The following is a 19,798-nucleotide window of genomic DNA, read 5'->3' on the forward strand; positions in this document are numbered from 1 at the left end:
AGAAAATAAATATGTACATGTAGCAAGGTAAAAGAAATAGAAATTATATGGCCAGGAGTGGTGGCTGATGCCCATAATCCCAGCACTTTGGGAGGATGATGTGGGTGGATCACGACCTCAGGATTTCGAGACCAGCTTGACCAGATGGTGAAACCCCATCTCTACTAAATATACAAAGATTAAAAAAAAGATATATATAAATTAGCTGGGCATGGTGGCTGGCACCTGTAATCCCAGCTACTCAGGAGCCTGAAGCAGGAGAATCGCTTGAACCAGGGCAGCAGAGGGCAGCAGTGAGCCAAGATCACACAACTGCACTCCAGCCTGGGTGACAGAGACTCCGTCTCAAAAAAAAAAAAGAACCTATAATAACAATTCTTCTGTTCATAAATATGCCTTCAGATGTAGACATCAGAAGTCTCAAAAATATAAAGAAAGTGGCCTAAATAAAGCCCAAGGTGTTGGACACATCTATGTATTGCACCAACCATATGATGCACAATTCAATTATTTATCCAGTTGCTAGTCTAGACTAAAAGCTTCTGGATTGTAGGAAAAAAGACTGCTGCATAGTTTTTTTTTAATGGCCATATAAAATGGAAGCAACTAGTTTATCCATTTGGGTCTCCAGATCTTTTCCTTCTTTACCATCCAAGTACTAGGAAACTGGAGAAACTCTCATCTGGGTACCAACCAAAGACACCTCTTGTATGAGGGGATGAAAAAACACAGGATGACTCATTTCCCTTACACTGAGACAGAAGCAGAATTAACCACTCTTATCAGCCTAACACAATTCTGCTCTGAACATCCTCAAATGCCTCAAAGACACCCAGGTGATTGTGAGGGAATTTCCAGTGACCCTGGGCTGATGGCCCAATGATAAGCCAGGCTAGAGAGACTCAGGCTGAAGACCAATGCAACAGAATAGAGAGCCCAGAAATAATGCCACCCTCCTATAACCATCAGATTTTTGACAAAGCTGACAAGGGAAATGTGGGAAGAATTCTCTCTTTAATAAATGGTGCTGGAATAACTACCTAGCACTATGTAGAAGACTGAAACTAGCTCACTTCATTACAGCATATACAAAAATCAACTGAAGATAAACACTTAAATGTAAGCTTAAAATTATAAGAAACACTGCATGAAAACCTAGGAAATACCATTCTAGACACAGAAACTGGCAAAGAATTCATGAGGAAGCTACCAAAAGCAACTGCAACAGAAGCAAAAATTGACAAATGGGACCTATTTAAACTAAAGCGCTTCTTCACAGCAAAGGAAACTATCAACAGAGGAAAAAGACAACCTACAGAATAAAAGAAAATTTTTGCAAACTTTGCCTCTGACAAAGGTCTAATATCCAGAATTTATTAGAAACTTAAACAAGTTTAAAAGACAAAACCAAACGACCTCATTAAAAAGTAGGCAAAAAAGATGAACACTGCTTTTCAAAAGAAAATATACATGTGGCTAAGTACCTGAAAAAAATGCTCATCGCTAATCACGGGAGAAATTAAAAGAAAAACCACATGTGGCTAAGAAGTACTTGAAAAAAATGCTCATCACTAATCACTAGAGAAATTAAAAGAAAAACAACAACGAGATATCACTTCACACCAGTCAGAATGGCTATTTTCAAAAAGTCAAAAAATAATAGATGCTGGCAAGGTTGCAGAGAAAACGGAATGCTTATACTCTGCTGGTGGGAGTGTAAATAGTTTAACAACTGTAAAAAGCAGTGTGGCGGTTCCTCACAGAACTAACAACAGAATTATCATTTGACCCAGGGATCTCATAATTGGGTATATACCCAAAGAAACATAAATTATTATATTATAAAGACACATCCACATGCATGTTCACTGCAGCACTATTCACAATAGCAAAGATAAGGACAGGCCCTAAATACCTATCAGTGGTAGACTGGGTAAAGAAAATATGGTATGGTCAGATGCAGTGGTTCACGCCTGTAATCCCAGCACTTTGGGAGGCCGAGGCGGGTGGATCATGAGGTCAGGAGATCGAGACCATCCTGGCTAACAAGGTGAAACCCCGTCTCTACTAAAAATACAAAAAATTAGCCGGGCGCGGTGGCGGGCGCCTGTAGTCCCAGCTACTCGGGAGGCTGAGGCAGGAGAATGGCGTGAACCCGGGAAGCGGAGCTTGCAGTGAGCCGAGATTGCGCCACTGCAGTCCGCAGTCCGGCCTGGGCGACAGAGCGAGACTCCGTCTCAAAAAAAAAAAAAAAAAAAAAAAAATTGGCCAGGTGTGGTAATGCCCGCGTGTAGTCCAAGCTACTTGGGAACATGAGGTAGGAGAAAATTGCTTGAGCCAGGGAGGTTGAGGCTAAAGTAAACCAATATCATGCCATGGCACTCTAGCCTGGGCAATAAGGGAGACTCTGTCTCCAAAAATAAAATGAAATAAAAGATTTAGTCAAAATAAAATATGGTATATAAACCTCATGGAATACTCTGTGGCCATTAAAAAAAAAAATCATGTCCTTTGCAATAACGTCAATGAAGCTGGAGACCATCATTCTTAGAAAACAAATGCAGAGGCCTGGCGCAGTGGCTCATGCCTGTAATCCCACCACTTTGGGAGGCCAATGTAGGTTGATCACTTGAGGTCAGGAGTTCGAGACCAGCCTGCCCAACATGGAGAAAAGCCATCTCTACTAAAAATACAGAATTAGCTGGGTGTGGTGCCATGTGCCTGTAATCCCAGCTACTCAGGAGGCTGAGGCAGGAGAATCACTTGAAACTGGGAGACGGAGGTTGTGGTGAGCCGAGATCACACCATTGCACTCCAGCCTGGGCAACAAAAGTGAAACTCCGTCTCCAAAAAAAAAGAAAGAAAGAAAAAGAAAATACTGTAGAAACAGAAAACCAAATGCATGTTTTTATTTATAAGTAACAGCTAAATAATAAGAACACACAAACACAAAGAGGAGAACAACAGACGCTGCGGCCTAGTTGAGGGTGGAGGGTGGAAGACTAAGAGAATCAGAAAACATACCTGTTTGGTGCTATGCTTAATACCTCAGTGACAAAATAATCTGCACGCAAAACCCCCATGCACCAAAACAAACTCATGTGTACCCCAAAACAAAAATAAAAGCTAAAAGAAAAAATTAAATCCCTGGGTGGGAGAGATTGCAATGTAGGTGAGAGGACTGATTTTTGCTACAGATAGTTGTCCTGGTGCAGCTGTACTCTGATTTATTACTGTGTGCACGCAGACATATGAGATTATGAACAGCTGATTCAAAATGCTAGGTTGGTGGAGAAAACAGATTGCTGCTGCAGATTTAGTGTCTGGGGGTGGGGATACGCCAGGAGACTTGTAGAGACTTGTGGGTTCTTGGCAAGAAACACTAGGATCAAAAACGCCGTGGTGAAGGTCCTGAGGGTGGTGCCTACTCCTGGGAGGAGGGTGGACATGTCAATGTCTAGTGTGTGTGTTTGTGAGTGGGTGGGAATCCTGTGGTGGCAGCTGTGGGAAAAGGGGGTCTGTCATCAGAGCTCCTTTCTTCTAAGTTTTCAGTCCTCTGTCACCCTGGGAGAAGACCTGGAATCACAGGACAATGGGCAGTGTGACAGCCTGTGACCAGACAGCAGAGCTCCCATTCCCAAACACCTAGAGTTTTATTCCAGGCCAGACTTCTGTGATATCTTTTTCCTGGCACCAAATCTGTAGAGTTTGCTGAACATTAAACAATTCTCCAACACCAACTCATTGTCTAACATTTGAATTCTGACACCACCGAGAGTCAACACAGACCCTGATTCAGGGCTCAGTCCCACAACACTGTCCTCACTGCAGATGCCAATCACAAACCCCATGGGCTTATCTATGCTTCTGAGCTACTGTTTAAAAACTGGGGAGTCCCATAACCTCCCTGAAGTTCAATAATTTGGTAGAGCTACTCACAGAACTCAGCAAACCACTGCAGTGATGTTTAACAGTTTAATATATAAGATGCAGCCCAGGAAAAGCCAAATGGAAGAAATGCACAGAACGAATAAAAGAGATGGGGAAAGATGAAACACACAGATAATCCTGGAAAATATTTGTGATTAATAAAATTCTCCATCTTTTGTGTGCTCCAGGAACAGTTTATGGAAAGAAACACTGTTCCCATTATGACTTAGTGCTCTCTTTTCTTATCTATCACACAGGCACACACACACACTGCACATTTTCTCCTTTTTCTCATTAAAAAAATCAGCTGAATTTGTCTTCAGCGCTCAAAATATTTCTTCACTTTGTCACCCAGGCTGGAGTGCAGTGGAGCAATCTCAGCTCACTGCAACCTCTGCCTTCCAGGTTCAAGCAATTCTCCTGCCTCACCCTCCCAAGTAGCTGGGATTATAGGCACCCACCAACACACCTGGCTAATTTTTTTTTTTTTTTTTTGAAATGGAATTTCACTCTTGTTGCCCAGGCTAGAGTGCACTGGTGTGATCTCGGCTCACCACAAACTTTCAAGCCATTTCCCAGGATCAAGCCATTCTCCTGCCTCAGCCTCATGAGTAGCTGGGATTACAGGCATGCACCACAATACCTGATTTTTCTTTTTCTTTTTTTTTTTCTGTAGTAGAGATGGGGTTTCTCCATGTTGGTCAGGCTGGTCTCGAACTCCCGACCTCAGGTGATCTGCCCACCTCAGCCTCCCAATAATTTTTGTATTTTAGTAGAGACAGGATTTCACCATGTTGGCCAGGCTGGTCTTGAACACCTGACCTCAGGTGATCCGCCTGTCTCAGCCTCCCAAAGTGCTGGGTTTACAGGCATGAGCCACCACACTTAGCCTAAAATAAAATATCCCTTAATCGAACTCTTCTTAAGCTTATCTCCCTCCCTCAGGCTCCTGAACTTTGAGCTACCCTCAGTCTGAGTCAGCATACAACCCCATTTTATGTCCCTCCTAAGAACATGCTGATTTCAGGGTAAGACATCCTCTGATCTAAAATATGACTTTTTCACTCTCCGTTTGCCATTCACCTCCCACCTCCTTTCTAATCTTGTTTGCTCCTCCCTAAAAAAGAAAGCCCTTTTCTGCTTACATCTTTGCAAGCCATAAAGATCTTAAATTAGTTGGTATTTTCTGCTGTTGCAATTTTTTTTGGAATTCATTTTTTTAACATAAATTAATATTTTTTATTTTACAAAGTGTAGAAAGTGCCACAAAACATAACAACTTCATCATCAATAAGACCCTCTAAGTTTCCTTTCATCTTAACCTCAGCTGCATCTGCCTGTGGGGCCCCAGCTTTCCAGGGCTCTGTAGCTTCTCTCAGGATAAAGCCTCCTTCTATGGCTGGGGTGAGCAGGCTGGGACATGTGCAGGGGAGGCTCCCCAGAAAAAAACTGAGTCTTTAGTAACATCCTGTTGCAGGCTTAATATCAGCCTTAGCTTGGAGTCACTAGGTTCAAGCTTTGATTTCCATGTCAGAGTTATTCACTTGGTTTTTGAAACTAAGTGTTAGAAAAATCCAGGGAAATTACTCAAACACAGTGTTTACATAAGAAGGAAGTGCTTACTTTTTTTTTTTTTTTTTTTGAGACGGAGTCACCCTGTGGCCCAGGCTGGAGTTCAATGGCATGATCTTGGCTCACTGCAACCTCTGCCTCCCCGGTTCAAGACCTTCTTGTGCCTCAGCCTCCCATGTTGTTGGGAATACAGGCGTATGCCACCACACCCGGCTAATTTTTGTATTTTTAGTAGAGATGGGGTTTCATCATGTTGGGCAGGCTGGTCTCAAACTCCTGACCTCAAGTGATCCACTCACCTCGGCCTCCCAAAGTGCTGAGATGACAGGCGTGAGCCACTGCACCTGGCTAAGGTGCTTGCATGTGATACCTCCATAAGAAAAGTAAATATATCTACTTCTTTCAGAAAATATATGTATTATTTTATTATTTATCTTAAAAATAAGTAGGCCTGGTGCGGCAAATCATGCTTGTAATCCCAGCACTTTGGAGGGCCGAGGCAGGTAGATCACGATGTCAGAAGATCACGACCATTTTGGCCAACATGTTGAAACCCCCTCTCTACTTAAAATACAAAAGAATTAGCTGGGTGTGGTGGCACGTGCCTGTAATCCCAGCTACTCAGGAGGCTGAGGCAGGAGAATTGCTTGAACCCAGGAGGTGGAGGCTGCAGTAAGCCGAGATCACGCCACTGCACTCCAACCTGTTGACAGAGCGAGACTCTGTTTCAAAAAAAAAGTAAATAAATAAAATAATGTAGTAAAAAATTAGTCATATGGGAACACTTCTAGAAGGTACCATGTTTCATCACATATAATTTAGCATTTAACTCAGAACTCAACAGGATATAGAACTGAGATATTCACTGTCACAAATTTCCCCTGCAAAAAGAGGAACTAATGTGTTGACGAATCTATGTAACTCATCAATTATCTACCACATTTTCCTGTGGAAATATATTCATTGTCTACAGCCAAAATGGAAGAGAGATTTTCCCTATTTTTTTCCTTGGTAACTAGCATTCCTGGCTAACATACTGAAACTCCATCTCTACTAAAAATACAAAAATTAGCTGGGCGTGGTGTCGCGTGCCCATAGCCCCAACTACTCCAGAGGCTGAAGCAGAAGAATGCTTGAACCTGAGAGGCGGAGGTTGCAGTGAGCCGAGATCTGACACTGCACTCCAGCTCTGGCGACAGAGCGAGACTCCGTCTCAAAAAAAAAAAAATAAAAATAATAAATTGAGGAACATGGGGTACACTTGAGGCCTTGCTTGAGACACATGTGGAAAATGCCAGGGAAAATCAGTCCGCTGTGGCGTGTGAAAATAATTAAGTGGCAGGCAATTAGACTGAAGAAGCTCTAGTCCCTGGATTTCTACCTCAAAAAAAAAAAAATCTAAGCTCATGTGCATTTTTTGGGAAATTACTACATTAGGGGAAACAAAATTCAGGCTTAAGCAACTATAAACTGCCAATTAAACTGTAATTACATAACCAGGAATTTTTTTTTTTTTTTTGAGACGGAGTCTCACTGTCGCGCAGGCTGGAGTGCAGTGGCAAGATCTCAGCTCACTGCAACATCCACCTCCGGAGTTCAAGCGATTCTCTCACTTCTGCCTCCCGAGAAGCTGTGATTACAGACATCTGTCATCACACCCAGCTAATTTTTGCATTTTTAGTAGACATGGGGTTTCCCCATTTGGGCCAGGCTTATCTTGAAGTCCTGACCTCAAGTTATCCGCCTGCCTCGGCCTCCCAAAGTGCTGGGATTACAGGCGTGAACGACTGCGCCCGGCCCCATAAATTTTGAATAGCAGAAAACAGAAACTGTGAACTCCACGGACCAAAGCTCTTCCCATTCATGAACCTGCACCCCGAGTCAGGATTCTCCCCTGACGACCCTCTGGTGGTCCCTGCACATTCTGGGAGAGACGGGAGGCTGCGGTTGCAGAGCTGCCCACGGAGCGCTCCAGGCCAGAGCAGTCACTACGCAGGGAAGACACAGGACGCCAGGGGGCCCGGCTGTCAGCGTAGCCGCCAAATTATGGCTGAACGGGACTGAGGCCGAGCTGGGCAAGGAGAACTCAGGGTGCAGATTGTGGAGCTGACTGCGCAGAGGCCTGAGTCCCGCCACAGCCACTTCCCACCGGTTCCAACCAGCCTATCCCCCTCTCTCGGGATGTCGGACCGGCACTCTCACCATTTCTAGGCTTCCAGGGGCTCCCGGGCGTCTTAGCTGTGGATCTCCCAATACCTGCAGGACACAGGGCCACAGAGGCTGGGCCTCTAGGAGCAGAGGACACACAGCAGTGAAGACAAGACCTGGAGCTCCGGCTGCAGAGACAAAGGCCCCGCAAAACCCGGAAGCCTTCCGCTTCACTCTGGCTGCGTGCCTGATTGGACGGCTTCCAGCCCAGCGTCCCTGATTGGATAATGCTTAAATCCCCGCCCCCTCAGGCCCTGAGTGACAGAAGATATGATCAGATGCTGGGTTAAGTGAACAAAGAGTGCCAGCCTAAGCAGCTGGCTTTTCAAACAGTGCTTCCTCCCTGAGCTGAGCCAGGCCCACCCCAGAGCATGGGAATATTTTATCTCTTGTTTACTCTCTTTCTTGTTGAATGTATTAAAAAGGTGAACAGAAGTATTTTGCTGTCATTAATAATACATAAAATTTTTGTTCAACAGAAAATCAACTTTTACTTTGGTAATGGTAAAATCTATTAAAGCTAATTTTAATAAAACCTTATAAATAAATCAAATTTGTCATTTTTGAGCACTCCAGATTTACATATATATTTTGTAATATCTCGTAATTTTAAAAAACTATTTATATTTTATTTTTGTCCACATTCTTTTTATTTTTTCAATTTGAAACAATCTTTAATTTCCAACAGCTATAGGAGATAGAAATCATTTAGAGGCAGGCACGGATAGTTCACGCTGGTAATTCCAACACTTTGGGAGGCCAAGGTGAGCAGATCACTTGAGGTCAGGAGTTCAAGACAAGCCTAGCCAACATGGTGAAACCCCATCTCTAATAATAACTAATAAATAATAATAATAACTAATAATATAAAAAGTTACCTGGGTGTGGGGGTGCACATCTGTAGTCCCAGCTACACCGGAGGCTGAGGCAGGAGAATCACTTGAAGCCAGGAGGCGGAGGTTGTGTAACAGCCCAAGGGGTTTATTTTACCCTTTGCCTAGACAGAGCCGATTCATCAAGACAGGGGAATTTGTGGAGGAAAAGTCACATATTAAATCTGAACTCAATTGAATGTGGACACAAACAATTGTCACCAAGTCCCAGAACAGGTTGTGTGAGCCCCTGAGGTGTTCATCCAGCGCTGTATTGAAGAAATCTCTATTTCAATCTATTCCTATATATTAGTTGTTGAAAAACAATAGACAATCACAAAAAAAGGTTGACCTTTTTGTGTTCCTTGAGGCAAGTCGTGAAGGGCTCTCATCACTGGGCCTTATGCCAAACAACTCGTTACAAAAGAGCTAAGGTCCCAGACCGCCCTGAAGCTTCATAAGACCTCTCCTTGTCTGTGTACGATGGACGGGTGGCTGACTCTAGAGCTGTGGCTGTTGCCTCCCTCTCTGGTGGTGAATCCCCCATAGTCTGGTGAGGGAAAATATATATATATATATATATATATATATATATATATCTTTTCCCATTTCCTCGTCTTATTAAGATTGGCTTATTACATCAATCTGCTTATTATATTTATTTGCTTATTATATCATTTGCTTATTATATTATTACTTTATTATGTCTGCATTGCCATTTACGTGGGATAAAAGTTGTTTACCCTTAATGGTATTGTGTGTGTGTCTTTGTTTCTCCCCTCTCACATTTGCCTCACAGAACATTTTTGGCATCACAAATAGGATTTGAAAACAAAAGTGTACCCCTTTTTGACTAGAAGGACAGGGCTGGAGGGCTCAGGGACTTCCCATATCCTGGGATGGGAACTCCCCCAGTTCTCCCTCTTGGTGATTAAATGGTCAAGGGGAACTGGTTTTTGTGGGAATTGGGAATCTAAATTAGTGCAGTTTAAACCTTTGACTGTGCGGGAAGTGCTGCGGGGGATTCCAGTCAGCAAAGGAGATGCTGAGGGATCTCCCGGAGTGGATGGTGTTTGCTTACTGCTTATAAGTTAATGTATCGTGATAGGGGCTGGTTGCTACAAGATAAATGTAAGCGGAAAAGGAAAATGCTAATCTGACTTCCAGACTGGCCCAATGCCAGTCAATGTCTTGACTGATAAAGCTCAAAGCTATCAGCCTATCGCTGAAAAAAGCAGCTGTCCAGGTGGCCCAGTCAGGATAAAACTGAAGAACTAGTCAGCCGGGGCTTCGAGCAGGTAAAAACCCAGTTCCTATTTCAAAAATGGGAAATTAACCCTAGTAAAATTCAAGGACCTGCACAAAGTATAAAATTCCTTGGCATTTTATGGAATGCAAATAAATAGTCCATTTTACCAAAGGCTAAGGCTAAAATACTAGATTTTGCAACCCCTACCACTAATGTACTGGCTTGTTTGGTTTCTGGAGACATCATATTCCCCACTTGGGTAACATTTTACAACCTCTGCATGCAGCCACTAGAAAACGCTATGACTTTCACTGGGGAGAGAAAGAGAGCATGGCCTTTGAACAAGCTAAACAAGCAGTGCAACTGGCCCTGGATCTATGGCCCATACGGGATGGGCCAGTAGAACTGCAAGTAACTGTCCTAGATCAATATGCTAATTGGAGCCTTGGGCAGAAACAAGATGGGAAGAGGGTACTTTTCGGGATTTGGACCCAGAAACCACCAGAGGGAGGAAAAGCTTATACCTCTTTCAAGAAGCAACTGTTAGCTTGCTATTGAGCTTTGCTGGAAATAGAACACCTATGCTTCAACCATGATGTTTTTATGAGACCTGAAATTCCTATTATGACTTGAGACATGAGTTCCCCCAAAACCCACCAGATAGGGCACACCCAAGAAAGTAGCATCATATAATGGAAATGGCACATACAAAACCAGCCTAAGCCAAAACCAAAGAGGGTATCACTTTCACATGAGGATGGACAAAACTTGCCAGCTCAGGAAACACTGAACGAGTCCTGCAGATAGAGAGGTAAACACCCCCCTCCCCAACCGCCCATCAAATGGGATCAGAAACATACTTGGTTTACTGATGGACCCACCAAATACATTGGTGGGACCCAATGCTGGAAGGCTGTGGCTTATAATCCTCTTAAATACATAAGCATTTCTGATGAAGGAAGGAGTGGGAGCATTCAGTTAGCTGAACTGGCAGCCATCCTCTGAGCTATTCAGGAGGAGACCAGAGGGATTTGTCACTTGTATACGAACTCTTGCTCAGTAGCAAATGGTCTTACCACATGGATGCCCCAGTGGCAATGAAACAAATGGCTAATTGGGAATAAAGAGGTTTGGCGAGAACAATGCTGGTAAGGTATCTGAATCCTGGTGCACAACACATACCACTGTGTTCCATATTGTTTGTTGTTGTTGTTGGTTTTTTCCTAGCCCTGTCACCAAACTGAAGTGCAGTGGTGCAATCTCAGCTCACTACAACCTCTACCGCCCGAGTTCATGCCATTCTCCTGCCTCAGCCTACCAAGTAGCTGGGATTACAGGCACGGGCTGCCACGCCCAGCTAATTTTTTTTTTTTTTTAGACTCAGTCTCACTCTGTCGCTAGAATGGAGTGCAGTGGCGTGATCTGGGCTCACCGCAACATCCACGTCCCACGTTCAAGTGATTCTCCTGACTCAGCCTCCCGAGTAGCTGGGAATACAGGTGCGCACCACCATGCCCAGCTAATTTTTGTATTTTTAGTAAAGACGGGGTTCATCATGTTGGCCAGGATGGTCTCAATCTCTTGACCTCATGATCCACCCACCTCTGCCTCCCAAAGTGCTGGGATTACAGGCATGAACCACTGTGCCCGGCCCTGTTTTCCATGTTGATGTTCATGCATCTCTGCTTTCTCTTGACAGACTATTTAATCAGCAGGAAGATCAACAGGCAAAAATTTCCACCATAACTGCGATCTTGAATGTGGGTAAATGGATTACAACATGTTCAAGCCTTGCAATGAGAGGCATTATAGTGTATGGTGGTATAACTGATAGGGATTACCAGGGAGAGTTAAAGGTCATTTTATACAATAACACTCCAGATTCTTTTGCTATAAAACCACAGATGCTTGTTGCTCAATTGTTAGTGGTACCTTGTGAACAATTAACCCCTGAGGAAATCTTTGTCCAACAGAGTCTACATACAGAACTGGGGGATTCAGATCCCCTGGTACAGGTAGCTTAAATCCTGGAGTCAAAATATGGGTACGGCGTCCCTCAGATCCCAACCCTAAGGCTAGTGACCTTGTAGCTATGAAAGCAGAAAAGGAAGGCATAGTACAATTTCCTAAAGATGAAAAACAATATCATTTCCCCTCTGTTTTTGTTATTACAGGGAATAACCTATCTACTAATGGTCAGCACCTGTGTCTTTGTGTCTGAGGCCAAGAATAAATTCATCAACTTTTTAGCCACCGCTGCAACAGAAGCCAACCACAATCAATGTTGGCTATACGTCGAGTTGCAGGAGGATGCCAAAAATGGCTACCTTGGAGAATCATCCCTGACAACATTTCTGAATGGCTATATTGTTACCAATGGGCCACAACAACAACACTTGCAATCCAACCTGGGCTTCCTTTGACCACACTAAGCGATCTATCTTTGCCAAGTCAGACAAAAGGCGAACTCCTCCCTCACCTTGCATCAAAAGCCTTGGTATTCTGCCCAATATTCCTGGAATGGTATATACTACAAACCTGCTGTGCTGGTGGCTGGATTCCATACAACCTCTGCTTTGTCTGGAGGCCTTAAATGGATCCTCTAATGTTACTCTGGGGTTTCTCCAGTCACGTGTCAACACATACTCCAAATCAACAACATTATGCCCAATGAAACACAATCTCTTTCCTATGTTAATAAGAGATTAGTACACTATGATTACAGTAGCTCCATTGCTGTCCCCTGGGGGGCCCTCTGGGTATGCAGATCCTATGGGTGGCGATACGTGCCCCTACTTTGGATGGGGAGATGCACTTGGGGGTGGACATTAATTCCATTCACTATCCGGGAAAATACTCCCCTCTCCAGTAATCTAGATGCTTAGAAACATTGCTAGTTACAAATGTGCTGGACTCCCTGGTGGTGGTACCCTATCACAGTATTCTCCCCTGCCACTGGTACAATCTTGCTTCACCAACAAATTATAATACTTAGCTTACCTGTAGAAAATGCTCTTAATGCTAGTAGCACTCGACTTATGTTGTTACCAGATGAATTTGCTCAGCTGCATACTGTTGTGTTGCAAAATCAAATGGCATTAGATATGCTTACCACAGCCCAAGGAGGGGTTTGCGCCTTACTGCATACTGGATGTTGTGTGTATATTCCTGGCAAGTCTCACAATATTACTCTGTTTGCAATGCCATGTTGGGTCTAATTTTTATTAATTGTGCTTCTAATTCTCCTGTGCTTACCCTGTATCTGTAATCTATATCAACTATACCTTCCCGATGTATCTGTGAGGGTATTTTAATACAATTGAGTATCCAATTGAGGCCGAATGTAGTGGAAAAGTTAAATATTAAATTTGAACTCAATTGAATGTGGACACAAACAATGGTCACCAAGTCTCAGAACAGATTATGTGAGCCCCTTTAGGCATTCATCCGGCGCTGTTTCAGAGAAATTTCTACTTCAATCTATTCCTATACATTAGTTATTGAAAAACAATAGCCAATCACAAAAACAGGTTAACCTTTTTACAGGTGTGAGCCACCATGCCTGGCCTTGGATGGGGTTTTTGTGGTTACTTTTTTGTTGTTGATGCTGTTGTTCCTTTCTGTTTGTTTTTCTTTCAATGGTCAGGTCTGTCTTCTGTAGGGCTGCTGCAGTTTGCTGGGGGTTCACTTCAGGCCCTATTCATCCGGTTCACTCCCGTGCCTGGAGATGTCACTCAAGGAGGTTGGAGAACAGCAAAGAAGAGTCTGCTCCTTCCTCTGTGATCTCTGACCTCAAGAGGCACCAACCTGATGCCAGTAGGATCACTCCTGTATAGGGTGTCTGACAACCCCTGTTGAAGTGTCACCAGTTGGGTGGCATGGGGAGCAGAACCCATTTAATGAAGCACTTTGACTGTTCCTTGGTGGAGGGGGGTGTTTTGCTGGGGGGAAACCCACTCATCTGGGCTGCTCGAATTCCTCAGAACTAGCAGGAGGAAAGGCTAAGTCTGCTGGTCCACAGAGACTGCAGCCTCCCCTCCCCCTAGGGGCTCAGGCCCAGGGAGATCAGAGTTATGTCCCTGAGCCCCTGGCTGGAGATGTTGGAGTTCCTGCAGGGAGGCCCTGACCAGTGAGGAGAGATGGGTCAGGGTCAGGCCTGAAGAGACATTCTGGCCACAGTCTGCCACAGCCCATGTGTTGGGCTGTGGGGGACACCTCTTGAGACCAAGCTGTCCAGTTTTCCTGGATCTAGCAGAGGAAAAGTGAGGCCAGGAGCTATAGAGATGGCTGCTTCCCTTTCCCCATCCAGGGACCTTAGCCTGTTAGGCAGTTTCGAGTCCCAGTGCTGGCTGCTGTCCCTCCCTCAAGGAGCTCAAACAGCTTAGACAGCAGCCAACTGCAACGGTGGTGCTGGTCTCCCCCACCGTGGGAACTCGGCAGGCTTAAGCAGATTCTACCTGACAGGCTGTTCATAATCTGCTCAGCTCCAGGGCTGTGTCAGGCATAATAAGTTCCTCTTCAAAGGGTAACTTCCTTGTTGTTTGTTCTCAAAATCAACTTCCTTATACCTTCCCGCTCCTAGCTACCTGCTATGTAAACATCTCTTCTCCCCAGTCGCAATCCGTAATCCACATCTCTTCCTTATTTGGAAGAAGTCCTCCTCACTCCTAGTTACCTGCTCTGTAAACAACCTTCCTGCCAGTCTCGATTTAAAATAGCCGTCGAGTTAGCTCCAGCCAATGGGGGCAGCACGCAGAAGTAGGGACTGTGTTAGGGATAAAAACTCCTTCCCTCCCTTGTATGCTGTGCTCTCACAACAGCCAGAGACATGACTGGCACCCTTCTGCAGAAGTAAATTTGCCTTGCCTTGCCTTGCTGAGAAATTCCTTGTTTTCTTTGCGACTCTGAGCTCTTGTTTCCAACAGTTGGGACCTTAGGCTCCAGTGGCGTGGGTTCATGAGTGGAATCTTCTAATCTGTGGGTTGCATAGTTCCATGGAAAAAGCACAGTTTCCCAGGATGGGTAGCAGGCTCACTCACCGCCTCCCTTGGCTATTGGGCAAGGGCTCCCCAGGCCCATGTGGGTGTCAGGTGGGCTGCCACACCACACTGCTCTTCCTCTCCATGGATCACGCCATCCACCTAGTCAGTTCTGATGAGAGGACCTGGATACCTCAGGTTATGGTGCAGGATTCACATACTATTATGGTTCTTTTCTATGGGATGCTGCTTCTAGTCAGCCATCTTGGCCCTGCCACCACCAATTTTTCTTTGAAAGGCTAATAGAATTCAGCTGTGAATCCACCTGGTTCTGAACATTTTTTTTGGTTGGCAATTTTTTGAAATTATTTCAATCTCACTTCTTGTTATTAGTCTGTTCAGAGTTGTTGTTTTTTAACCTAGGAGGGTTGTACATTTCCAGGAATTTATTCATCTCCTTTAGGTTTTCTAATTTGTGCACATAAAGGTGTTCACAGTAGCCCTGAATGATCTTTTGTATTTCTCTGGCATTGGTTGCAATATCTTCTGTTTCATTTCTAATTGAGCTTATTTGGATCTTATCTCTTCTTGGTTAATGCTGTTAATGGTCTATCAATTTTGTGTATCTTTTCTAAGAGCCAGCTTTTCATTGCATTTATCATTTGGATTTTTTGTTGTTGTTGTTGTTTCAGTTTCATTTAGCTCTGCTCTGATCTTTGTTATTTCTTTTCTTCTGCTGGGTTTGGGTTTTCTTGTTTCTCTAGTTCCTTGAGGTGTTATCTTACATTGTCAGCTTATGCTCTTTCAGACTTTTTCACAGAGGAATTTGATGCTATGAACTTTCCTTTCAGCACCACTTCTACTGTATCCCAGACATTTTGATCGGTTGTGCCATTATTAATGTTCAGTTCAAAGAATTTTTAAATTTTAATCTTGATTTCATCCAATGATCATTCAGAAACAGATTGATCATAAATTTAATTTTTTGTTTAATTTCCTTGTATTTATTTAATTTCTAAAATGTATTTAATTTTCATATATTTGCATGGTTTTGATAGTTCATTTAGAGTTGATTTTCAATTTTATTCCACTGCAGTCTGAGAGTAGTTGATATAATTTGCATTGTCTTAAATTTATTGTGACTTGTTTTGTGGCCTATCATGTGTCTATCTTGGAGAATGTTCCATGTGCTGATGAATAAATTGTATATTCTGCAGGTGTTGGGTAGAATGTTCTGTAAATATTTGTCAAGTCCATTTGTTCTAGAGTATAGTTTAAGGCCACCGTGTTTTTTTGTTTTTATTGTTGACTTTGTCTTGATGACTTGTCTAGTGCTGTCAGTAGAGTATTGAAGTTCCCCATTATTATTGTGTTGCCATTTATCTCGTTTCCTAGGTCTTGCAGTAATTGCTTTATGAATTTGGGAGCTCCAGTGTTAGGTGCATATATATTTAGGATTGTTACATTTTCCTGTTGACTAGTACTTTTATCATTATATAATGTCCCTCTTTGTGTTTTTTATTTTTTACCTGTTTTTGCTTTAAAGCCTGTTTTGTCTGATGTAAGAATGGCTACTACTGCTTGCTTTTGGGGTACATTTGCATGGACTATCTTTTTCCAAACCTTTACCTTAAGTTTATGTGAGTCCTTATGTGTCGGTTGAGTCTCTTGAAGACAGCAGATATTTTGTGGGTAAACTCTTATCTATTCTGCCATTCTGTATGTTTTAAGTGGACCATTTAGGCCATTTACATTCAATGTTAGTATTGAGGTGAGAAGGACTATTCTATTCATTGTGCCAGTAGTTTCCTGAATACCTTTTATATTGTGTTATTGTTTTATAGGCCTTGTGAGATTTATGCCTTAAGGAGGTTCTATTTCAGTGTATTTTGAGGTTTTGTTTCAAGACATAGAACCCTTTTTATCAGTTCTTATAGTGGCGGCTTGTTAGTAGTGAATTCTCTCAGTATTTGTTTGTCTGGAAAAGACTGTATCTTTCCTTCATTTATGAAGCTTAGTTTCACTGAATACAAAATTTGGGCTGATACTTGTCTTGTTTAAGGAGGCTAAACATAGGACCCCAATCCCTTCTAGCTTGTAGGGATTCTGTTGAGAAATCTGCTGATAATCTGATATGTTTTTCTTTATAGGTTACTTGAGGCTTTTGTCTCACAGCTCTTAAAAATCTTTCCTTTATATTGACTTCAGATAACCTGATGACTGTGTGCCTAGGTGATGATCTTCTTGTGATGAATTTCCTTGGTGTTCTTTGAACTTCTTGTATTTGGATGTCTAGATCTCTAGCAAGTCCAGGACAGTTTTCCTCAATTACTTCCTCAAATAAGTTTTCCAAACATTTAGGTTTCACTTCTTCCCTGGGAACACCAATTATTCTTAGGTTAGGTTGTTTCCATAATTCCAAGCTTCTTGGAGGTTTGGTTCATTTTTTAAATTCTTTTTTGTCTTCGTTAGATTGGGTTAATTCAAAAGCCTTGTCTTTGAGCTCTGAAGTTCTTTCTTTTACTTGTTTGGATCTATTTTTGTAATTTTCTACTATGTTTTGCATTTCTCTAAGTGTGCCTTTCATTTCCAGAAGTTGTGATTTTTTTTTTATTTATGCTATCTATTTCTCTGGTAATTGTTTTCGTCCATATCCTGTATTTAAAAAAAATTCTTTCAGTTAGTATTTATCTTTCTCTGGTGCCTCTTTAAGTGGCTTAATAATGGACCTTGTGAATTCTTTTTCTGGCAATTCAGAGATTTCTTCTTGGTTTGCATCCATTGCTAGGGAGCTAGTATGGTCTTTCAAAGGTGTTAAAAAATCCTTGCTTTGTTGTTACCAGATTGTTTTTTTGGTTCCTTCTCATTTGGGTTTTCTATGTCAGAGGAAAGATCTGAGGCTCAAGGGGTGCTGTTCAGATTCTTTTGTTTCATGGGGTATTCCCTTGATGTGATGGTCTCCCCTTTTCCCTTGGGATGGGGCTTCTTGAGAGCCAGAGTGCAGGGATTGTTATTGCTCTTCTGGGTTTAACCACCCAGTGGAGCTACTGGTCTCTGGGCTGGTACTGGGGAGTGTCTGCAAAGAGTCCTGTGATGTGATCTGTCTTCAGGTTTCTCAGCCATGGATTCTACCACCTGCTCTGGTAGAAGCAGCAGGGGAGTAAAGTGGACTTTGTGAGGGTCGTTGGTTGTAGTTCTGTTTAGTGCACTGGTTTTTTTTTTTTTTTCTTTTGAATGCTAGTTGTTCTAGCAGTGAAGTTGTCACGTGGAAAGACTGAGGAGGACTTCTGGTTAGCCAGGATGTTACAGGTGATGGAATTAGCTGTTGTTTTCTCCTTTATTGGAGTGGGGATTTTTTGTTTGTTTGTTTGTTTGTTTGTTTTTTGAGACAGAGTTTTGCTCTTGTTGCCCAGGCTGGAGTGCAATGGTGTGATCTCGGCTCACCACAATCTCTGCCTCCCAGGTTCAACGGATTCTCGTGCCTCAGCCTCTTAAGAAGCTGAGATTACAGGCATGCAAGACCAGGCCTGTCCAATTTTGTATTTTTAGTAGAAACTGGATGCAGTTTCTCTATGTTGGTCAGGGGGGTCTGGAACTCCTGACCTCACGTGATCCGCCTGCCTCAGCCTCCCAAAATGCTGGGATTACAGGTGTGAGCCACACCACCTGGATGGGGTTGTTCTTTGATGAGTTGCTGCAATGGCTTGAGTTGGTTGACCTCCAACCTGGAGGTGGGATTTTCAATAGAGCATCAGCTGTCGTAGTATGGGGGGGATGCAAGCTTGCCATCAGGTCACCTGGATAAGTATTCAGGTTTCTCAGGCAATGGGTGGGAACATAGAGCTCCCAAGAGAGTATGTCTTTTGTCTTCAGCTACCAGGGTGGGTAGAGTAAGACCATCAGGTGAGGGCAGGGTTAGACATGTCTGAGCTCAGACTCTCCTTGGGTGGGGCTTGCTGCAGCTGCTGTGGGGTTGGGAGTATGGTTCTCAGGCCAATGGAGTTATGTTTCCAGGGGGATTATGGCTGCCTCTGCTGTATCATACAGGTCAGGATGGAAGTGAAGGAAAGCCAGCAGTGACAGGCCTCACTCAGCTCCCATGAAGCCAGCAAGGCCAGTTTCACTCACACCCTACCCACCAACAGCACCAAGTTTATAACCAGTCCGTGAGCAGTACTGAGATCTTGCCCCAGGCTATAAGCCTCCCCATTGAGAAAGCAACCTGGGCTTTCAGGCCCCACCCCTCACCACCTGCCATGGCTTCTGTGCCCATATCTGTGCTTCCCATTCACTGTCCCCGTGCCAATTTTGCCAAGGAACATTGACACTAGGTCAAAATTCTTACAGAATTTAGCTGGAAGTTTCCTTCTCCCTGTGGCCCTTCCCCAATTCCACTGGCAGCCTGTCCCAAGGACCACTGTGAGATAAAGTCAGAAACGGCTTCCCTGAGGACCAAGAGTGCCTATTGGGCTATTCCCACTGCTTCTTCTGCTTTCATATTTTGCTTGGCTCTCTAAGTTCATTTCAGCCCTAGGTGAGGCTAAATCCTTCTCTGGTAATCTGGATTTTCAGGTTTTGAGTATGTGTGTTTAGAGGTGAATGTTCCATCTCTTACACTTTTGGCACTTGCTATTTTTCAGTCATCTCGCAGAGGTTGCAGTGGCAAGCCACTTCTTTCAAAGAGTCTGTGCATTCTTTTGGTTTTCCTGGTATGTTCCTATGGTAGTTCTTGGAGCAAAAGTTCATGATGAAAGTCTCCACATGCTGTTCAGTCCATCCAAGTGGGAGATAGAAGGTAGTTCTGTCTCCTAGCCACCATTTGTTTTTCTTTTGCCTTCTGAGATAGAAATATTGATTGACTCTTCATCACAGATACAAAAAAAAAAAAAAAAGATCAGTGAGCATTCTTTCTTTATTGTTTTAAACAGCAATCTACTTTTTCTTCGGGCTACTGATTTAATTTCTCATTATACATTTATTTATTTATT

The 19,798-nt window shown here is 43.3% G+C and overlaps 1 protein-coding gene and 1 long non-coding RNA gene across 10 annotated transcripts in view, besides 2 other annotated features; one reads left to right on the forward strand and one right to left on the reverse strand.

Annotated features, from left to right (window-relative positions):
- ZNF737 (zinc finger protein 737) overlaps nt 1-7,848 on the reverse strand; it is a 35,506-nt gene extending 27,658 nt beyond the window's left edge. For all 9 annotated transcript variants that reach the window (XM_006722597.5, XM_005259697.5, XM_047438008.1 and 6 more), the window contains exon 1: nt 7,705-7,848. In XM_006722597.5, the coding sequence (XP_006722660.1) occupies nt 7,705-7,707 (3 nt within the window). In that variant the 5' untranslated portion in view covers nt 7,708-7,848. The remainder of the gene's footprint in view (nt 1-7,704) is intronic.
- The window catches only part of LOC105372316 (uncharacterized), a 98,054-nt gene extending 84,892 nt beyond the window's left edge, over nt 1-13,162 (forward strand). The window contains exon 3 of the long non-coding RNA XR_936408.3: nt 12,006-13,162. This is a non-coding gene — a long non-coding RNA (uncharacterized LOC105372316). The remainder of the gene's footprint in view (nt 1-12,005) is intronic.
- Nucleotides 7,281-7,440: an enhancer, noted in NCBI's record as "active region_14379". NCBI's record gives its function as "activates an Ori minimal core promoter by ATAC-STARR-seq in GM12878 lymphoblastoid cells {active_cell/tissue: GM12878}" and the evidence as "EXISTENCE:reporter gene assay evidence [ECO:0000049][PMID:35858748]".
- Nucleotides 7,651-7,700: an enhancer, noted in NCBI's record as "active region_14380". NCBI's record gives its function as "activates an Ori minimal core promoter by ATAC-STARR-seq in GM12878 lymphoblastoid cells {active_cell/tissue: GM12878}" and the evidence as "EXISTENCE:reporter gene assay evidence [ECO:0000049][PMID:35858748]".
- Nucleotides 13,163-19,798: the final 6,636 nt, after the last annotated feature.

Source organism: Homo sapiens, chromosome 19 (assembly GCF_000001405.40).
Source record: "Homo sapiens chromosome 19, GRCh38.p14 Primary Assembly".
Lineage (NCBI taxonomy): Eukaryota > Metazoa > Chordata > Mammalia > Primates > Hominidae > Homo > Homo sapiens.